Genomic DNA, 20,546 nt, shown 5'->3' with positions numbered 1-20,546 from the left:
AAATAATATATACCCTAAATCAAATTGAATGAGTTTTTATTTAAGTAGTCTGAAGATAAAAATTACAAGAAAAATATTTTGACAGTACATAGACTTTTCTGTGGATTTACATTAACTTGTTAGTATATTTCATTCATGCACAAGTTATGATACAAACACACAGTTTTTGGAAGCTGGATTCAATTTGGTATTATATTATTGAGCATGTTAAAAAACCAACTGCCTTAGGTACTGGGCTCAGAGATATCGAAATTAAAACAAACTCATTTGCTTTTTAACTCTAATGTATTTCCTAGCAAATTGTATTGGCAAGAGAAAGCTCAATATTTAAATGATAAATTAATAAATGTACAAAGAATCTCCCTAATCTTAAGTTTTCCTATCTATTAAATGGGAAATATAATACATATGCTGTAATATGAGTTAATCCAAGTGTTATACATACTTTCTATTTTATATATAATATCTATTATATAGTATATGTATATATATTGCAAATAGAAATTATGACAGGCATACATAATATATGTTCATTAAGTGATACTTAAAGAACCATTAAATGGTAGTAAAGCCTTCACTAAAGAAGACAATACAATAAATATATTAAATGGTTACTTAAAAGAGGATTTTTTCAGCTCCATGGGCAACAAGTAATATACAGTACTAGCCCTCCATATTATCTTGAAGCATAAATTTACATTTTTCTATTGGGTACCATTTAGATGAAGAAAATAGGTCAAATAGCAATGTCCAAATGTAATTTTTTGTCTTTTTTGATTGTATATACTTGTGTACTTGTAGACACTTCCTTTAATAATTTCTAAAAAGCTTTTTCTTGATATTTGAATAAGAGTTGGTATAATTTCTACTTATGATCAGGAGGGGACTAGATAACAATTAAACATGGAAACTGAAGTCATTTCTACTTAATGTCACTATAATCAACATGGAAAACCAATTTGCAGTCCCAGATGATTGTTTTTCCCTGATAAGTGAGTTGTTTTGGCTAAGTATACTGAATAAATGTTCAGCTTCATAGACTTGGTGCCAGTCAGCTTGCCTTTATACTGGGAATGGATTCCAGATTTCATACAAAGACCATTTCCATAGAGCCAAGAGTGAAACAAAGAGGGGCCGTTTCCTGGTAAATTGTTGAAGAAACCAATTGTTACAAAACTATTGTTAACAATGTAGAAATGTGCAGCAAGCACACATAGCTTAAATACATAATTTCATTTTGAAATTAGTCCAAATCATATGCTTTCAATCTGATAACATTTTTTTTTTTTTTTTGAGACGGAGTCTCGCTCTGTCGCCCAGGCTGCAGTGCAGTGGTGCGATCTCCGCTCACTGCAAGCTCCGCCTCCCGGGTTCATGCCATTCTCCTGCCTCAGCCTCCCGAGTAGCTGGGACTACAGGCACCCGTCACCACGCCTGGCTAATTTTTCGTATTTTTAGTAGAGACGGGGTTTCCCCGTGTTAGCCAGGATGGTCTCGATCTCCTGACCTCGTGATCCACCTGCCTCAGCCTCCCAAAGTGCTGGGATTACAGGTGTGAGCCACCACGCCCAGCCTCTGATAACATTCTTAAGATTTGATAACACTCACCACTCATGAGGATCATGAGCTTTTCGTAGAATATAACAAACTGACTAATTTCAAAGAAGCAGTGTAAATGAAGAAATTCTTAAGTGAATGCATAGTTTCCAAAATCTCACAAAAAATTATATCTGGGCTCAGATTTGCAATTGGAGGAATATATTTCATGTACCTGGCTTCCAAGATGAACATTTTTTTCCATATTTTAATATTTCTGAAATTACAACATACACATCTAGGGCATCACCTCTCCTTCCTCAAATACCTCTTAATTCAGCAATATCACAAAATAAAATAAATAAAATATATTGTGATTTTAAAGATATATAATATATACTAGATATCAAATTTATAACATGTGTAATGTATTATAAATATATTTGTATGTTTTATGCATTATATTAATAACACATAATGTAAACATATATTTAAATATATGTAAATGTAATACAGTAATATACAGGTAAGATAACACGTATTGTGTATAATTTGTAAATGGGTGAGACATTGCTTTTCAGCACCATTGAAGGTCTATACAACATGATACTTTAATAATCTCATAATAGTTTAATTAAAGAAACACAGTTGACAATGAGCTCTGTGGTTTGGATTTTCTATAACCAATCACATTCATATACTCGGAGTGGGTAATCAACTAGTTCACAACAGTAAATTCTCACCAATAATGTCTGAAGAGTTCACTTATTTAGCTTTCAGATCATTCTTATTATATATTTAACAGGTGACTCATTATTTTATGAAATTATTTTTGAAGCACACTACAAATGCAAAATAGAATTGTTAATAATAAAACAAGTTCTAAAATAAAAGCTTAAATACAGTTTTAACCATTCATGTTTCATAAGGCTTAAGAACAATTACAATAATTATTATAAATAGAATTTAGTATTAAAGTATTACATCTTTATACCCAATTATCTTTGTTTAAACCACTCTACTCATTTTCTAATGTATTTAAAGGCATGGTATGGGTATAAAAATGGACACAGAATAATAAAGCTACACATCTACAGCCAACTGATTTTCGACAGTCAACAAAAATAAACAATAAGGAAAGGACACCCTATTCAATAAATGGTGCTCGGAAAACTGGCTAGCAATATGCAGAAGAATGATACTGGACCCCTACCTTTCGCCATATAGAAAAATTAACTCAAGATGAATCAAAGGCTTAAATGTAAGACCTCAAACTATAAAAGTCCTAGAAGAAAACCTAGGAAAATCTCTTCTGAACATTGGCCTGAACAAAGAATTTATGAGTAACACCTCAAAGACAAACGCAAAGTAACCAAAAGTTGACAAATGGGACTTAAACTAAGGAGCTTCTGCACAGCAAAAGAAACAATCAGGAGAACAAGCAGACAACCTAGAGAATGGGAGAATACATTTGTAAACTCTGCATCTGACAAAGACTAATATTCAGAATCTATAAGGAACTTAAATAAATCAACAAGAAAGAAACAACCACTTTGAAAAGCGGGCAAAGGACATAAACAGACATCACACAAAAGAAGACATACAAGCGGCCAACAAACATATGAAAAAATGCTTAACATCACGAATCATCAGAGAAATGCAAATTAAAACCACATGAGATACCGTCTCATGCCACTCGGAATGGCCATTATAAAAATGTCAAGAAATAACAGATTTTGTGAGGATGCAGAAAAAAAGGGAATGCTTACACACTGTTGGTGGAAATGTAAATTAGTACAACCTCTATGAAAAACAGTTTGAAGATATCTCAAAGAAGTAAAAGTTGAACTATCATTTGATCCAGCAATTCCACTACTGGGTATCTAGAAAAAGAAAAAACATTGTTATATAAAAAAAACAACCACACTTGTATGTTCATCCCAGCAGTGTTCACAATAGCAAAATCATGGAATCAACCTAAGTGCCTATCAACAGTGGATTGGATAAAGAATATGTGGCACACATATACCATGGAATACTATTCAGCCATAAAAAGAATGAAATCATATCCTCTGCAGCAACACAGATGAAGCTGGAGGTCTTAATCCTAAGCAAATTAACACAGCAACAGGAAACCAAATACCACATGTTCTTACTTATAAATGGGGGTTAAAACATTGGGTACTCATTACTTCTGGCATAAAGACAGAAACAATAGACATTGGTAACTCCCAAAGAAAGGAGGGAAAGATGGGGGAAAGGGTTGCAAAATTACCTATTGGATAATGATAATATATTCACTATTTGGGTGATGGGTTCAATAGAAGCCCAAACCCCAGTATTACACAATATACCCATGTAACAAACTTTCACATGTACCCCCCGAATCCAAAAAAAATAAAAAATAGCAGTACATTAAGTAGTACATAATTTTTAAAACTGCATTGCATTATATTTTCATATTTCTAAAATATTTAGGTATATCTTATCTTTTAGTCTTTTCCATGTTTATGATTCAGTTCAACCAACACACACAAACATTCAATTGGTATATGTGTAGTTTGCTAAGTTATGAAATCTGAAGATGACTCACTGAATAAGTAAATGTAGTTGCTGAATATTACTGTCATGAGATTTATAGGGACTTCACCAAATACTATTTAAAATACCCCTTTTCTAATGAATTACTAAAGAATCACAACATATAATTAGGTTTACAGGCTTTCATCAGTGACTGGAGTATATATAAGATTTAATGGCGGCTATCATACTGAATTTGGGAATATGCTGTAATCATCTGAGATTTTCAAACATGAAATTTCATAAAATTCTATCAGTTGATGTATGTCATAAAACATATATATATTTCTGACGTGAAAAAAAACCAAAAAGGTTTAAAAAGAAACACTCAAAATTAAACAAGTAGTAAATATTTACATACTTTTAAAGTAATAGAATCATTGTTTTATTATAGCCATTTTAAAATCTTTAGAAAACAACTGTACACCTCCCACCCCAAGATATAGTAAGGATATTTTTGAATATTTGACTAGATTATTCCATAATTAGAACAGATTTTTCAGGAGGAAAAAACAAAGTATTATTGGGGAAACTTTAAAAATATTATCAGATAGCTCAATCCTAGTGAAGGTATAATATTCTACACAGGAGAGAGTAGAGCACAAAAGTTAAAAAATACAGGCTCTGATGATCATCTGCCATTGAACTCTAGACAGTTTATCAGACTTCCAGTTTCTTCATCTGTAATATCATGATAATAATTCAATATAATTAGCAGGACAGTTCTGAAAACTATGTATTAAAAAAAATACCGACTACATTGGAAGTGCCCAATAAATACCAGCCATGGTTTCTATTTTGATAATCTATTGCACACAGCTATATTCTAACACTGCTATTACTAACATTGCTTATCTTTCATCTCTAATGATGGTGATAATGGTGATGATAGGAAGTAGAAATATTGCATTTTCCAGAATTCTGGTTTATTATTATCAGAATCAATAGATGAAAGTTTCTGTAAATTTATTGTTCTTTTAAAGATACTAGTTTATGCCTGTAATCCCAGGACTTTGGGAGGCAGAGGTGGGCAGATCACGTGAGGTCAGGAGTTCAAGACCAACCTGGCCAACATGGTGAAACCCTGTCTCTACTAAAAATACAAAAAATTAGCTGGGTGTGGTGGTGGGCACTTGTAATCCCAGCTACTCGGGAGGCTGAGGGAAGAAAATCGCTTGAACCCGGGGGGCAGAGGTTGTAGTGAGCCGAGATCGCGCCATTGCACTCCAGTCTGGGCAACAAGAGTGAAACTCCATTTCAAAAAAAAAAAAAGAAAAGAAAAGAAAAAAATAAGATATTAGTTGGCTAATTTTAACTTCATGCACTTTTCTATTTTTTTTTCTGTTAATTACCTGGCCACTAAACACACCTTGAATAAACTGACCAAAAGACCAAGAGCAAAAATTAAAGTATCAAAGATCTACAGGAGACTTACATCCTGAAATAAAAGAATAGAATTAGAGTAACCAAGAGTTATTACTATTTCCTAGAATACGATTTATTACAGTATTCAAAATGTAAGAGCTGATACTGGTGGATTTATAAACATTGTGATCATCACTCTTATTATAGTCCTTGAGTTTCAATTTTCTATTATTTAGAGTTTTATGTTATGACAATATGATGATATCAAAATTTGATGTTATCCGAACATTACCTAGAAATCATGTTTTGTAATAGTTTTAAAGTAGCTTACTTATTTTGAACATAATAATAAAATAATTGAGAAAGAGACATAAGAATCCTTGCTTTTCAGAAATAGCAAGAGAATGTCTGGGATACAACTAGTCACCATATTTTCTAAGTGTGTAACAGTGGTCCACTTCTTATAACAATATAGCTCATGAGTATTCAAGAGACTTCAAAATGTGCAGCCAAAATCATGTGTTGTAGAATGGTCTTTCCCTGCCTTTGATGTACAAAGCAAATCAGCCTGAAATCATCAGAGAATTGCCATGACAGGGGTTGGACGTATCTCAGCATGATCAAAGCATTCCAAGCCAATGACATTTGAAAGGAAATTAAGGCTTTCTCCACTGAGATTTAGCCATCTTCTAAACAGAATAAACGTAAGAACACTGAGATGGATGGATATGTTAAGTACGGCTAGCATTCCTCCAAACCATCATGATGGTGCTTCATTTATTAAAAAGTAATGTTCACCATATCCATTTGCATGCTATGGAACTCTCCACACAAAAGCTTTTATTGCTATTTTTCATCCTTTTAATCTCCTCCAAAATGAGAAATTACCCACTGAAAATGGCATTTGTTTGTCATTGTAGATAAGGAATCATGCAAACTTAAAGACAGAGTGGTTGAGAATTAATCTTCTATTATGTCTGATGCAAAAAGTCTGATAACTAATGTAACTCTCTAGCAAGAACTCTTATAATGGGCTGGGCGCAGTGGCTCACGCCTGTAATCCCAGCACTTTGGGAGGCCGAGGTGGGCAGATCTCAAGGTCAGAAGTTTGAGACCAGCCTGGCCAACATAGTGAAACCCCATCTCTACTAAAAATACAAAATTTAGTCAGGTGTGCTGGCACATGCCTGTAGTTCCAGCTACTCAGGAGGCTGAGGCAGGAGAATCACTTGTACCTGGGAGGTGAAGGTTGCAGGGAGCCGAGACCGTGCCATTGCACTCCAGCCTGGGTGACAGAGTGAGACTCCGTCTCAAAGAGAAAAAAAAAAAGAAAGAAAGAAAGAAAAAGAACTCCTATAATGAAATGTAATGACTTAACATGTTTTAATGATTCAAATGACAGTTATTACTTACCTAGGACAATAACTGAAGTGCTAAAGTATATTGTTTTCCGTGACATGATCAGAGGTTAAAAGGACAGATTGAAAATTCAAAGCTTGCATTTGCTTTGCAAAGCACATCTTCAAGTGTTCTCTAATATTCTGAAAGACCATTCGTTCTGAGACAAACTGAGCATAGAAATATTCTCAGCATATTGATTGTTTTAGAAATGTTAAATAGTACAAGGAGTATTATATAAAATGGCCCTGAGAACTGCTTGCTTTTACATATTCAAAAATAATTTTGTAATGTAATAAGCTTGTTCTAATTTAGTTTTTCAGGTGGTCATTCACTGAAGGCAAGTAGACTTTGTATAAAGCAGATAGAGGAAAATTTGGTTTTGATACACTTAAGTACTCTGTCCCTTGGAATAGAGGTGAATATTATATATCATGTTTTTAGTATTTGTTAAGTATATTATTCAAGATTCACTATGAAAAATATTTTGGGCATTCAAAAAATGAAAAATATATGATTGCACCTAAATAAGATTTTATTCTGATGGGCACATAATTAGAGAGGCATAAGAAGAGAAAAATAGTGATCAGTACCAGAAATACGTGAGGCCTTTCCATGTAACAGGTGCTTCTATTAAGAAAAACAAATTTTGTAACATGGTAAAGGCTTTCAAGACCAGCATATGGCTGTATGAAATGTTGCTGGTATCATGGCTAACATTCCAAACTCCAGAGTCAGGCTTTTCGGATCCATATCTTGCCTTTGTCAATTCCTGTATAGGTTTAGACAATAGAGACAACAGTCCTTTAAGTCACAGAGCTGCTGTGAGGACCTAATGAGATGATGCATATGAATCCTGAAAAACAGATACATAAAATGAACAAGTCTAGAGATCAAATGCACAACTTGAGGACTGTAAGTAACACAATTGTACTGTATCTGGGATTCACACTAAATGGGTAGATTTTAGCTGTGCTATCCACAAAACAACAACAAAATAGATAACTATTTGAGATGATGGGTATGCTAATCTGCTTCAGCATAGTAATCATTTTACTATCTGCATATATTCCATAACATCATGTTGTGTACCTTAAGTACACACAGTAAAACTTATTTCTAAAAAACCTGATAAATATTAAGCCCCCCATAAACATTTACAATGAGCATTAACATTGTGATTTTTGCTACTGTTTATATTTTCATGTTGATAAAGTTTATTTGTATTTGCTATTTTTAACTTGGGCTTTGGTAGACAATATTTTCCAAAGAAATCTGAAGGTTTAACCATTTATATGTGATGAATCAAGTCGTGACAATGGTGCTGAAGCTGGTAAACAGAAATGTCTAGAGAATTGATCCAGGTTCGACCTTGAATTGCAAAAGTTTTGAAAAAACATGTTCTTAAGTAACTCAGTCCCTGAGTATAATATGACTATTTTCTGTCATTTATTTGTTTGTTTACAAAAGAGAAATAAGCTCAGAGAGGTTAATGACTGAGGCAAAGTCCCAATCCTAGAAAATGGCAGAATCAGGCCTAATAGGTACCTTGTGATTGCAGATACTTTATATTTCCTCATTCTCCCAACTCTCTCGCTTATGGTGTTCAAATATAGCACTTCTTTTACTATCCTTTCAGCAGCAGATCTTACTTGCACATTGCTTTGTTTGTCAGCTGTTAGTCTTTCAAACATTTTTCAGACATTTTATCAGATACTGTGTTTGCAATAAACATTCTTACTTTTTACAACTGACAGGGACATGTATGACATCTATAGTTAGATATCTGTCAAACTTTTGACTTTTCTTCTTAGTAAAGATATTTCTCAGGAGATTATCTATACATCCTAATATGTGGCTGGCTGTTTTAAAGGCTTGTTGAACATGTATTTGGAAAACTCACCCACTCTACATATCATATATCATAAACTACTTTTGTTACATTTCCTATCCTCTTACCTGTAAAAAAAAAACCTTGCCACTGTGTTTTTTATTTAAACTCAAGAATAGTCTGTTCAGAGGCAGATAACCCTCTTTAGATAGGAGGCAAACAAATCTAGATAGAAATTCCTTCCTGTGACGTTTGATGTCCTGAGAAAAATAGAAGTAATCATGTTGTGAGTACAGAAATGCACCTTAAAACAACACTTTGGTCAATGATGGACCTCACACATGATGATGGTCACCTAAGATTTTAATGGAGCTGAGAAATTCCCATTGCCTCATGACATGGTAGCCATCTTAACATCATAAGCATCATAAACGCCATGCATTACTCATGTGTTTATGATGATGCTGGTGTAAACAAGCCTACTGTGCTGCTAGTCATGTGAAAGTATAGTTTATATGATTATGTATAGTACATAATACTAGATAATAGATGACTTTGTTCCTAATTTATGTATTTACTATATTATACTTTTTATCATTATTTTTCCCATGTATTCCTTCTACTTATAAAAAAGTTAGCTGAAAAACAGCCTCAGGCAGGTCCTTCAGGCAGTATTCCAGAAGAAGGCACTGTTATAGGAGATGACAGCTCCATGCGTGTTATTGCCCCTGAAGACCTTCCAGTGGGACAAGATGTGGAGGTGGAACACAGTGTTAGGTATGAGCCTGACTCTGTGTGGGTTAAATTAATGTATGTATTTGCGTCTCATTTTTGCACAAAAATGTTTTAAAAAGGAAAAAGTTACAAATAGAAAAAAGCTGAAAGAATAAGAATATAATTTTTGTACAGCTCTAAAATGTGTTTGTGTTTTAAGCTAAGTGTTCCTACAAAGGAGTTAAAAGGTTTTTTAATAAATTAGTAAGTTTATAGAATATAAAGGTTACAGTAAGCTAAGCTTAATTTACTATTAAAGAAAGAAAATAGTTTTTTAAAAATTTAATGCAGCCTAACTCTACAGTGTTTGTAACATCTACGGTAGTGTACACTGATATCCTAGGCCTTCACATTCACTCACCACTCACTCACTGATTCATTCACCCAGAGCAACTCTCTGACCCGCAAGCTCAATTCATGGTAACTAATTATACATATACATATAGGTGGTACCATTTTAAAAATCTTTTATGCTGTAGTTTTGGCATACTTTTTCCATATTTAGATATGTTTAGATACACAAGTACTCACCATTATGTTATAATTGCCTACAGTACTGGTACACTAACATGCTGTACAGGCTTATAGTCAAGGAGCAATAGGCTATACCATATACCTACATGTGTAGTAGACTACGCCATCTCAGTTTCTGTAAGTACGTTCTATGATGTTTGCACAATGGCGGAATTGCCTAACGGTGCATTTCTTAGAATGTAAAACCCTTCAAAAAATCAATGAATCCAGGAGCTGGTTTTTTGAAAAGATCAACAAAATTGATACACCGCTAGCAAGACTAATAAAGAAGAAAAGAGAGAAGAATCAAATAGACGCAATAAAAAATGAGAAAGGGGATATCACCACCAATCCCACAGAAACACAAACTACCATCAAAGAATACTATAAACACCTCTACACAAATAAACTAGAAAATCTAGAAGAAATGGATAAATTCCTAGACACATACACCCTCCCAAGACTAAACCAGGAAGGAGTTGAATCCCTGAATAGACCAACAAGAGGCTCTGAAATTGAGGCAATAGTTAATAGCTTACCAACCAAAAAAAGGCCAGGACCAGACAGATTCACAGCCGAATTCTACCAGAGGTACAAAGAGGAGCTGGTACCATTCCTTCTGAAACTGTTCCAATCAATGGAAAAGGAGGGAATCCTCCCTAACTGATTTTATGAGGCTGGCTTCATCCTGATACCAAAGCCTGGCAGAGACACAACCAAAAAAGAGAATTTTAGACCAATATCCCTGATGAACATTGATGCAAAAATCCTCAATAAAATACTGGCAAACCGAATCCAGCAGCACATCAAAAAGCTTATCCACCACGATCAAGTTGGCTTCATCACTGGGATGCAAGGGTGGTTCAACATACGAAAATCAATAAATGTAATCCATCATATAAACAGAACCAAAGACAAAAACCACATGATTATCTCAATATATGCAGAAAAGGTCTTTGACAAAATTCAACAGCCCTTCATGCTAAAAACTCTCAATAAACTAGGTATTGATGGGACATATCTCAAAATAATAAGAGCTATTTATGACAAACCCACAGCCAATATCATACTGAATGGGCAAAAACTGGAAGCATTCACTTTGAAAACGGGCACAAGACAGGGATGCCCTCTCTCACCAATCCTATTCAACATAGTGTTGGAAATTCTGGCCAGGGCAATCAGGCAGGAGAAAGAAATAAAAGGTATTCATTTAGGAAAACAGGGAGTCAAATTGTCCCTGTTTGCAGATGACATGATTGTATATTTAGAAAACCCCATCTTCTCAGCCCAAAATCACCTTAACCTGATAAGCCACTTCAGCAAAGTCTCAGGATACAAAATCAATGGGCAAAAATCACAAGCATTCCTATACACCAATAAAAGACAAACAGAGAGCCAAATCTTGAATGAATTCCCATTCAAAATTGCTTCAAAGAGAATAAAATACCTAGGAATCCAACTTACAAGGATGTGAAGGACCTCTTCAAGGAGAACTACAAACCACTGCTCAATGAAATAAAAGAGGATACAAACAAATGGAAGAACATTTCATGTTCATGGATAGGAGAATCAATATCATGAAAATGGCCATACTGCCCAAGGTAATTTATAGATTCAATGCCATCCCCATCAAGCTACCAATGACTTTCTTCACAGAATTGGAAAAAACCACTTTAAAGTTCATATGGAACCAAAAAAGAGCCCGCATTGCCAAGACAATCCTAAGCCAAAATAACAAAGCTGGAGGCATCACACTACCTGACTTCAAACTATACTACAAGGCTACAGTAACCAAAACAGCGTGGTACTGGTACCAAAACAGAGATATAGACCCAAGGAACAGAACAGAGCCCTCAGAAGTAACACCACACATCTACAACCATCTGATCTTTGACAAACCTGACAGAAACAAGAAATGGGGAAAGGATTCCCTATTTAATAAATGGTGCTGGGAAAACTGGCTAGCCATATGTAGAAAGCTGAAACTGGATCCCTTCCTTACACCTTCTACAAAAACTAATTCAAGATGGATTAAAGACTTAAATGTTGGACCTTAAACCATAAAAACCCTAGAAGAAAACCTAAGCATTACTATTCAGGACATAGGCATGGGCAAGGACTTCATGTCTAAAACACCAAAAGCAATGGCAACAAAAGCCAAAATTGACAAATGGGGTCTAATTAAACTAAAGAGCTTCTGCACAGCAAAAGAAACTACCGTCAGAGTGAACAGGCAACCTACCTACAGAATGGGAGAAAATTTTTACAATCTACCCATCTGACAAAGGGCTAATATCCAGAATCCACAAAGAACTTAATCAAATTTACAAGAAAAAATCAAACAACCCCATCAAAAAGTGGGTGAAGGATATGAACAGATACTTCTCAAAAGAAAACATTTATGCAGCCGACAGACACATGAAAAAATGCTCATCATCACTGGCCATCAGAGAAATGCAAATCAAAACCCACAATGAGATACCGTCTCACACCAGTTATAATGGCGATCATTAAAACGTCAGGAAACAACAGGTGCTGGAGACGATGTGGAGAAATACAAAAACTTTTACACTGTTGGTGGGACTGTAAACTAGTTCAACCATTGTTCAACCACAGTATTATAAATCATGCTGCTATAAAGACGCATGCACATGTATGTTTATTGCGGCACTATTCACAATAGCAAAGACTTGGAACCAACCCAAATGTCCATCAATGATAGACTGGATTAAGAAAATGTGGCACATATACACCATGGAATACTCTGCAGCCATAAAAAAGGATGAGTCCATGCCCTTTGTAGGGACATGGATGAAGCTGGAAACCATCATTCTGAGCAAACTATCATGAGGACAGAAAACCAAACACCACATGTTCTCACTCAAAGGTGGGAATTGAACAATGAGAACACTTGGTCACAGGGTGGGGAACATCACACACCAGAGCCTGTTGTGGGGTGGGGTGAGGGGGAAGGGATAGCATTAGGAGATAAACCTAATGTAAATGACGAGTTAATGGGTGCAGCACACCAACATGGCACATGTATATATATGTAACAAACCTGCACGTTGTGCACATGTAACCTAGAACTTAAAGTATAATTTAAAAAAAGAATATATCACCATTGCTAATCAACACATGATTGTATTAGTATCTCCAAACTAGTTACTCTTCTAGTGCTATTCAATTATTTCGGTGTTATATTTTTGATCACCTGCTAAATATATGTGAAAGATGCTGCCTCATGAACCTTGGAAATTTCTTGGCCTACCATATCAAATTCTTTGCTTTATTTGAAAAGGATAAAATAAATAAATTATCTCTAGAAGAGCATAGTACTCTAAGACTTTGACCTTCTTATTTCTGAAAGGTTATTTTAATATTTATTTCATAACAAGGGGAGGAAATTAAAGTATAATACATTATGCAGTCTTTATATCTCACACAAAATCATGAGAAATTTTGCATTAATGTTTCTTGTAATATATTTATTTGAAAATAGAGAAAACTATTTTAAAATTCATACTGAACCAAAGAAGAGCACAAATAACCAAGCCAATTCTAAGCAAAAAGAACAAAATTGGAGGCATCACACTATCCAACTTCAAACTATGCTACAGGGCTACAGTAACCAAAACAGCATGGTACTGGTGCAGAGCAGACACTTAGACCAATGGAACAGATAAAGAACCCAGAAATAAAACTGTTCACTTAACAACTCTCTGATTTTTGGCAAGCCTGACAAAAACAAGCAATGGGAAAAGGATTCCCTATTCAACAAATGGTGCTGGGATAACTGGCTAGCAATATGCAGAAAATTGTAACTGGACCTCTTATTTATACTTTAACTCAAGATGGAGTAAAGACTTTAGTGTAAAATCCAAAACTATAAAAACCCCCTGGAAGACTACCTAGGGAATACCATTCAGGACATAGACATGGCTAATGCTTTCACGACAGAGACACCAAAAGCAATTGCAACAAAAGCAAAAACTGACAAATGGGATCTAACTACACTAAAGAGCTTCTACACAGCCAAAGAAACTATCAACAGAAAAAAAAGACAATGTAGAGAGTGGGAGAAAATTTTTGCAAACTATGCATCAGACAAAGGTTTAATATCCAGCATCTACAAGGAGATTAAACAAATTAGAAAAACACCCCATTAAAAAGTGGGCAAAATACATGAACAGAAACTTGTCAAAAGACATACATGCGGCCAACAAGCGTATGAAAAAAAGGTCAACATCACTGAACATTAGATAAATGCAAATCAAAACTACAATGAGATACTGTCTCACACAAGTCAGAAAGCTATTACTAAAAATCAAAAAATAATAGACGCTGGTGAGGTTGTGGAGAAAAAGGAATGCTTTTACACTGTCGGTGGGAATGTAAATTGGTTCATCCATTGTGTAAGATAGTGTAGCGATTCCTCAAAGACCCAAAGTTAGGAATATCATTAAACCCAGCAATCCCATTACTGGGTATATACCCAAAGGAATATAAATCATTCTATTATAAAGACGCATGCACATGTATATTCATCACAGCACTATTCACAATAGGAAAGACTTGGAACCAACCCAAATGCCCATCAAGGCTAGACTGGATAAAGAAAATGTGGTACAAATACACCATGGAATACTCTGCAGCCATAAAAAGAATGAGATTGTGTCCTTTGCAGAAACATGGATGGAGCTGGAGGCCATTATTCTTAGCAAACTAGTGCAGGAACAGAAAACAAGATACCACATGTTGTCACTTATAAATGCAAGCTAAATGATAAGAACACATCAACACATGGAGGGGAACAACACACACTGGGGCCTATTGGAGGATGGAGGTTGGAAGGAGGGAGAGGATCATAAAAAATAAATAATGGATACTAGGATAATGCCTGTGTGATAAAATAATTGGTACAGCAAACCCCCATGAAACACATTTACTTATGTAACAAACCTTCACAACCTGCACATGTACCCCTGAACTTAAAATAAAAGGAAAAAAAAGTAATCTGATCTTTAATCCAAAGAAAAAAATAATATACAGGAAGAGACCACCTCTCAATGCCCCTAAGAAGAGAGGAAATATGTGAGATAGACAGCATTTTGTTAACTATCTTGGGCATAAAGAGTGTGTCAGGTCATTTTGTTCTGTGTATCTAATATCCAGACCATGCCCACATACTGCAGGATCTGGCCAGCAGCCTGCAATGCAATGGGGCTCTTTCTTTGTCCCAGGCAGATCGGCAGGTCGAGAAATAATAGACACACACAAGATAGTGAAAGCTGGGTCCAGGGGGGTCACTGCCTTCTGGTCCCGCGGTGCCACCAATGCACTGGATATGCCAGCATTTATTATTAAGTTTAGTGAGGGCAGGGATAGGTTAGTGAGGGATTTAGGGTCATTTGATTATGAAGTGAGACGGTTACATGGGGATGAAGTAATTCTTTAACATAACCTCTGTATGCAGAAGTACACTATACAGAGATAAGAATTTACAATATAGTGTGTGCATCAGTTTTTCTAACAGAGCCTTAAAACAGAAACAGTCTTTCCATAGCAGATATTAATCAGCAGTAACAGTTGCAGCAAAAGCTGGTTACAAACATTCCATAGAAACAGGATGTGAAGCTAGACAACCGGTTAAACCAAAAATTCTCAGAAGGGAGTATGCCTTAACCCTAAAGAGGCCTAGAAGAGCCGTGGCAAGATGAGGGCATTTATAGTCCTAACTTATCCATATGGACAGGTGCCCCTCATGCATCCGTTTATAGGCTCTTCACAAGGGTCGCATTCCATTCCCAGAGCCATGAACATCTGCTTTTCTGGGATAGGAATCTTGGTGATGTGAAACCTCCCTGACCGCACATCCATTCATAGGCTCTCTGCAGGGGGAAGCACGTCACACGCTGTTGGCTCATTCTGGCAGTCCAACCTGGCATTGTCTTTACACAATCCTGCATGCAATTTTGTATTTACAATACTCAGGAGCATTTCATCTTTTATTCTGTAGTGATAGTTTCAGGGGTTCTCCCTACACCCACAGAGCTTGATTAGTAGAGAAATTTTGTTGTGAATGACACATCTAATAAGAAAATGGCAGGTGGTGGTAAACCCAAATCAGTAGCATTTGAACTTTCAAAACATTTTCATTAACACAGATGGGGAAAAAATGGATATATGGTGACTGCTTTTCATTAATATCTACAATATTTAAAAACTTTGTTAAAATACTGATGGATGTCTATCTCTTGAGAGTCTGACTTTTATTCACTCAGACACCTAATAAAAATTTTCATTTATTAATGTAGTACTTGGCAAGAAGAAGGGAGTCTTTCCTAACCTTCAGTCAATAATATTCATAAAAGAAAATATTATAGCCATCTTACATTAGTGTTAGATCTGATGAGTCTGCAAATTGGTTAAAATATTCATATTAAATTCACAGCAAAAGAAATATTGTTGTTTTACTCTTTATCTTTTAACTGAAGGTTGAAATGATTGCTCCCTAAGTTGTTCATGAATCATCTTTACAGACATGTAGAAGAATATACATATTCAAGTCTTTATTAAATAAGCTCATCATTTCTATCTCCAATTTGAAAATTATTACCATGGAGCTAAAAATTATATTGCATCATATTGTCCTAAATCTTTTTCAACCACTTATTCAAAAGTTTGTAATATAACCATATTCAGGAAGTGAAATGTCATAAAAGATGTTTTGAAAACATTATTGCTTAAGGCAAACTTTCTGGAGTGATGAATTTTATTAAAATAAATATTAATTAAGGGATGCATTGTTCTTTATAATTGACCAATTCAAATTCTTTTACAGTAATCATTCATAAACTTGTGAGTTTGCAATAATCTGGCCAATTATGATTATGTAACAAATGATATAAAAGTTACTTCTGGCTATTTGGTTAGATTATAATTTAGCAATTATATGAATCACTAAATACATGTGATTAAAACTGTTGAAAAATTTTAACAAAAATGCCTCTGGATTAAATATATACATCATGTCACCCTCTAGCTCAACTATGTTCATATGTGTTTCAAAGAGATGAGGTTGATGTCCTTTAAATATTCATTAATTGGCTATAAAATACTATTCCTTATCCAATTTGATGTAGTTGCACTCTTTTATGTTAGCTTTAGATTTTTCCCTTTTGACATTCATTCATAATGTGCTTCAACTTTTGCTTTTGAGTCAGCATCCTCGTTGTTGAATAAGGTGTTTTACATCTCAGTTTACTGTGCTCCTGCATAATAGAAATCCATATAAAATATCAAAAACAAACATTTGTATTTTACATTCTTTTTGTAAATAAACAAACAGTTTATACCACTTAAAGAACATGCTTATTCTGAACTAATGTTATCAACTTTAATTTCATTTCTTTTTTAAGTGTCTCAGTAATTTGTTTCTCAAAAATCATTTAAGGCCGGGCAAGGTGGCTCACGCCTGTAATCCCAGCACGTTGGGAGGGCGAGGAGGGTGGATTACCTGAGGTCAGGAGTTCAAGACCAGCCTGGCCAACATGGTGAAAACCCATCTCTACTTAAAATATAAAAATTAGCTGGGCGTGGTGGTGTGCACCTGTAATCCTAGCTACTCGGGAGGCTGAGGCAGGAGAACGGCTTGATCCTGGGAGGTGGAGGTTGCAGTGAGCCAAGATCATGCCACTGCACTCCAGCCTGGGCAACAGAGTGAGACTCTGTCTAAAAAATAAATAAATAAATAATCATGTAAACTCCTCACTAAGCTGCAAAACTCTCAAAGGAGGCTCTGTAACTGATGCCCCCCTAGCCCAGGCTAACATACATTACGCCTTTTTTTTTTTGAGTATACCTTGTTATATCTGCAATCCACTTCTCCGCTATGCATGGGCGTCACTTTCTCCAATCTTCATTACCATTTGGGTGGAGGATATCGGAATTCAGTGGTTTCTCTAATTGTAGGATGGAGTATTTGGAGCACTGATGCTGAATTAAGTTTGGTGACACATAGTGAGGCATGGTGGAGAAAGGAACAAATCTTAAAGACCAGAAACAGAAACTGATAAGGTGACTGAGCTTTAGGTATTAACCATGTCAACTATAATTTATAAGGTATAGAGAAAGACACTTACACATACATACATGGAGATGAAAGACATTCTGTAAAAGTATTTTATTTTATTCTATTGAGACAGGGTCTTGCTATGTTTCCCAGGCTGATCTCGATCTCCTGGGCTCAAGGGATCCTCCTGCCTCGGCCGCCCAAAGTGCTCGGATTACAGGCATGAGCCGCTGTGCCCAGCCCTGTAAAAGTATCTTATAATTTGTTTCTCCATCTTCACATCTCTAATTTTAAAAACATTTTTCTTTTACATTTCTATGTGAGATGAGACATGTTACTAAAGTTTATAGCTCTAGTTTCATAATTTTAAATTCACCATCAATCCCACAAATCTTGATGTATATAATCTTTAGTTATGATAAGATTTGTGTTCATAGGAAAAACACATTTGCAAAAAAAATGAGTAAAAGCTATCTGAATAATTTTTTGACATACGACAAAATGTTAGAAATTAAATACTATGTTAGAAATAATTAACAGAAAGAATCTAATGAGAAAAAAGAATGGATATAACTCTGTACTGAATTATTTTTAATATCAGTAAGTAGTTAAAACAAAAACAAAACACCATGAACTCTGGTCTCAGGTAGAATTGGGGTAGCATTTTGCTTTTCTATCCCCTAGTCTCATGGCCTTTCACAGGCAACTTTTTAATGTTCTGATTAAACACAAGTATAATGAACCTATCTCAGAATGTCATGAAATAATACATGAAAAAGGAAGCACCTTACTTCATGTACAGGTGTAATTTCAATAAATGTTAGCTATAACTATAATGGATAGTCTGGACTTCGGAAATGATTTACAAATATTTAGAACTGAATTAAATTGCTTTACACTCAAGCATTTAGGCAGATATTTGAAATATGTACTATAAAAAAATTAAAGATTCTCCCTTCTTCCTCACATAATCTTTCTCTACAGAATTTCTTATTTAAAGATCTGCTGCAATTATTTAGGAGTCAAATTCATCCTGCTTATTCTGCTAATTGAAATGCTGTATTTGATTATTATCTCCAGATATGAACCATAGTCAATGTATAAGAACTAACATTAGTTGATTGTTGATTGGCTACATTTAAAATGTGGTCCCAAATGGGAAGACTGCCTTTCATGCTTTGAAGTGCACATTTTCATATGCATAATACACTTATCACAGAGAAGTTAAAACAGACCAGGAAATAGCCCTGACTCTCAGCCACCAGCAATTTAATATTGACATCCCATGACAATAAGCTTTGGTGAATTAACAATGCAGTAGAAAACCTCTAGGACACCTGTCCAGCCCAATTATGGCTTTTAAGAAATTTCCCCTCTTCTCATTTACATCTACGGGTTTGGACTACATAAGCTCACCTACCTGGCCAAAACCAATTATGTGCAATAGATACTTAACCCACACTGGAGTAACCAAGTTTTCTTTTCAGATATTTTTGAGTTAGGTCATTGGGGTTCAATTCAGTTGGCTGATGGTGCTAAAAGCAGCAAAATTCCTGTTCTGAACAAGCAATCAAGCTCATTAGGGAAAAACAAAAATAAGAAACAAAGCGAAACCAAACCCAACAGAAAAGAAAAAAGAGAAACCCACTCTATGGTGACATAACAACAATAAGCAGAGACAGCAAACACCAGAGATTTGGAGTATGCTGCAGGGTTACTAATGACTTTCCATTTTCTGGTCTCAATCCTTCTCAATCTAAACCATGCTTTTTTAATTTAGGTAGTGGGAAACGTTCCTGTATCTATGAAACAAATGAGTTTTATTAATATAAAGCAACTGGCTATGTTAAACCCATTCTATGCCATAATTCTCATGAAATTCTTCTAGAGTTCCAGGGCTTTTACGATAGTATATTTTTCTACTCATATAAATGAATTTCATGAAGGAAAAGAATATGTGGGTTTGAGGATAACCCATGGAACCATCATCTATGAAGCATGTTTTAAATAGCTTCCTCAAACTTCGTTTTAATCATAAAACTTTCAGTGAGTTTCCTACTTTTAAAGTAAGATATATTAGAGACATATACTATTGATCTTACCAGAAATAGATGAATTTTTAAAATGAGACAGCTATGTGAGTCATAAAATACATGTTAAATAATTGATGGAGTTTATAAACTTTTACTTTCTAAGAAACAAACCACTTAATTAAGAAATCTGCAATTGAGACATTCTCCTGAAAACCAGATGACAATTTCTTCTTTGACTTATATCTAAAAAAAAGCAACTTTTTCATGACTTTATGCTTTATTTAACAAGATGAAACTGGAATCAAAATGTTTTCTCACTGCTTGAAATAACTTTTGTTATTTTTTATTGTTGTTAATTAATTATGCTCATATAACAAGGACCCCTCAGTCTATTTCATGTTGCCTATGCCAAGTGGTTCACATTACATGTTAAGAACATATA

The 20,546-nt window shown here is 34.9% G+C and overlaps 2 long non-coding RNA genes across 2 annotated transcripts in view; both read right to left on the bottom strand.

Annotated features, from left to right (window-relative positions):
• LINC03000 (long intergenic non-protein coding RNA 3000) overlaps nucleotides 1–20,546 on the bottom strand; it is a 765,030-nt gene that overhangs the window by 501,618 nt on the left and 242,866 nt on the right. The window lies entirely within an intron of this gene.
• LOC102546299 (uncharacterized) overlaps nucleotides 17,133–20,546 on the bottom strand; it is a 72,706-nt gene continuing 69,292 nt past the window's right edge. Inside the window, exons 3-4 of the long non-coding RNA NR_105065.1 lie at nucleotides 17,862–18,047; nucleotides 17,133–17,271 (exon numbers count right to left, since the gene is read on the bottom strand). This is a non-coding gene — a long non-coding RNA (uncharacterized LOC102546299). The remainder of the gene's footprint in view (nucleotides 17,272–17,861; nucleotides 18,048–20,546) is intronic.

The sequence above is a fragment of the Homo sapiens genome, chromosome 5 (assembly GCF_000001405.40).
Source record: "Homo sapiens chromosome 5, GRCh38.p14 Primary Assembly".
Lineage (NCBI taxonomy): Eukaryota > Metazoa > Chordata > Mammalia > Primates > Hominidae > Homo > Homo sapiens.
This window is presented reverse-complemented; position numbering and strand designations above follow the sequence as displayed.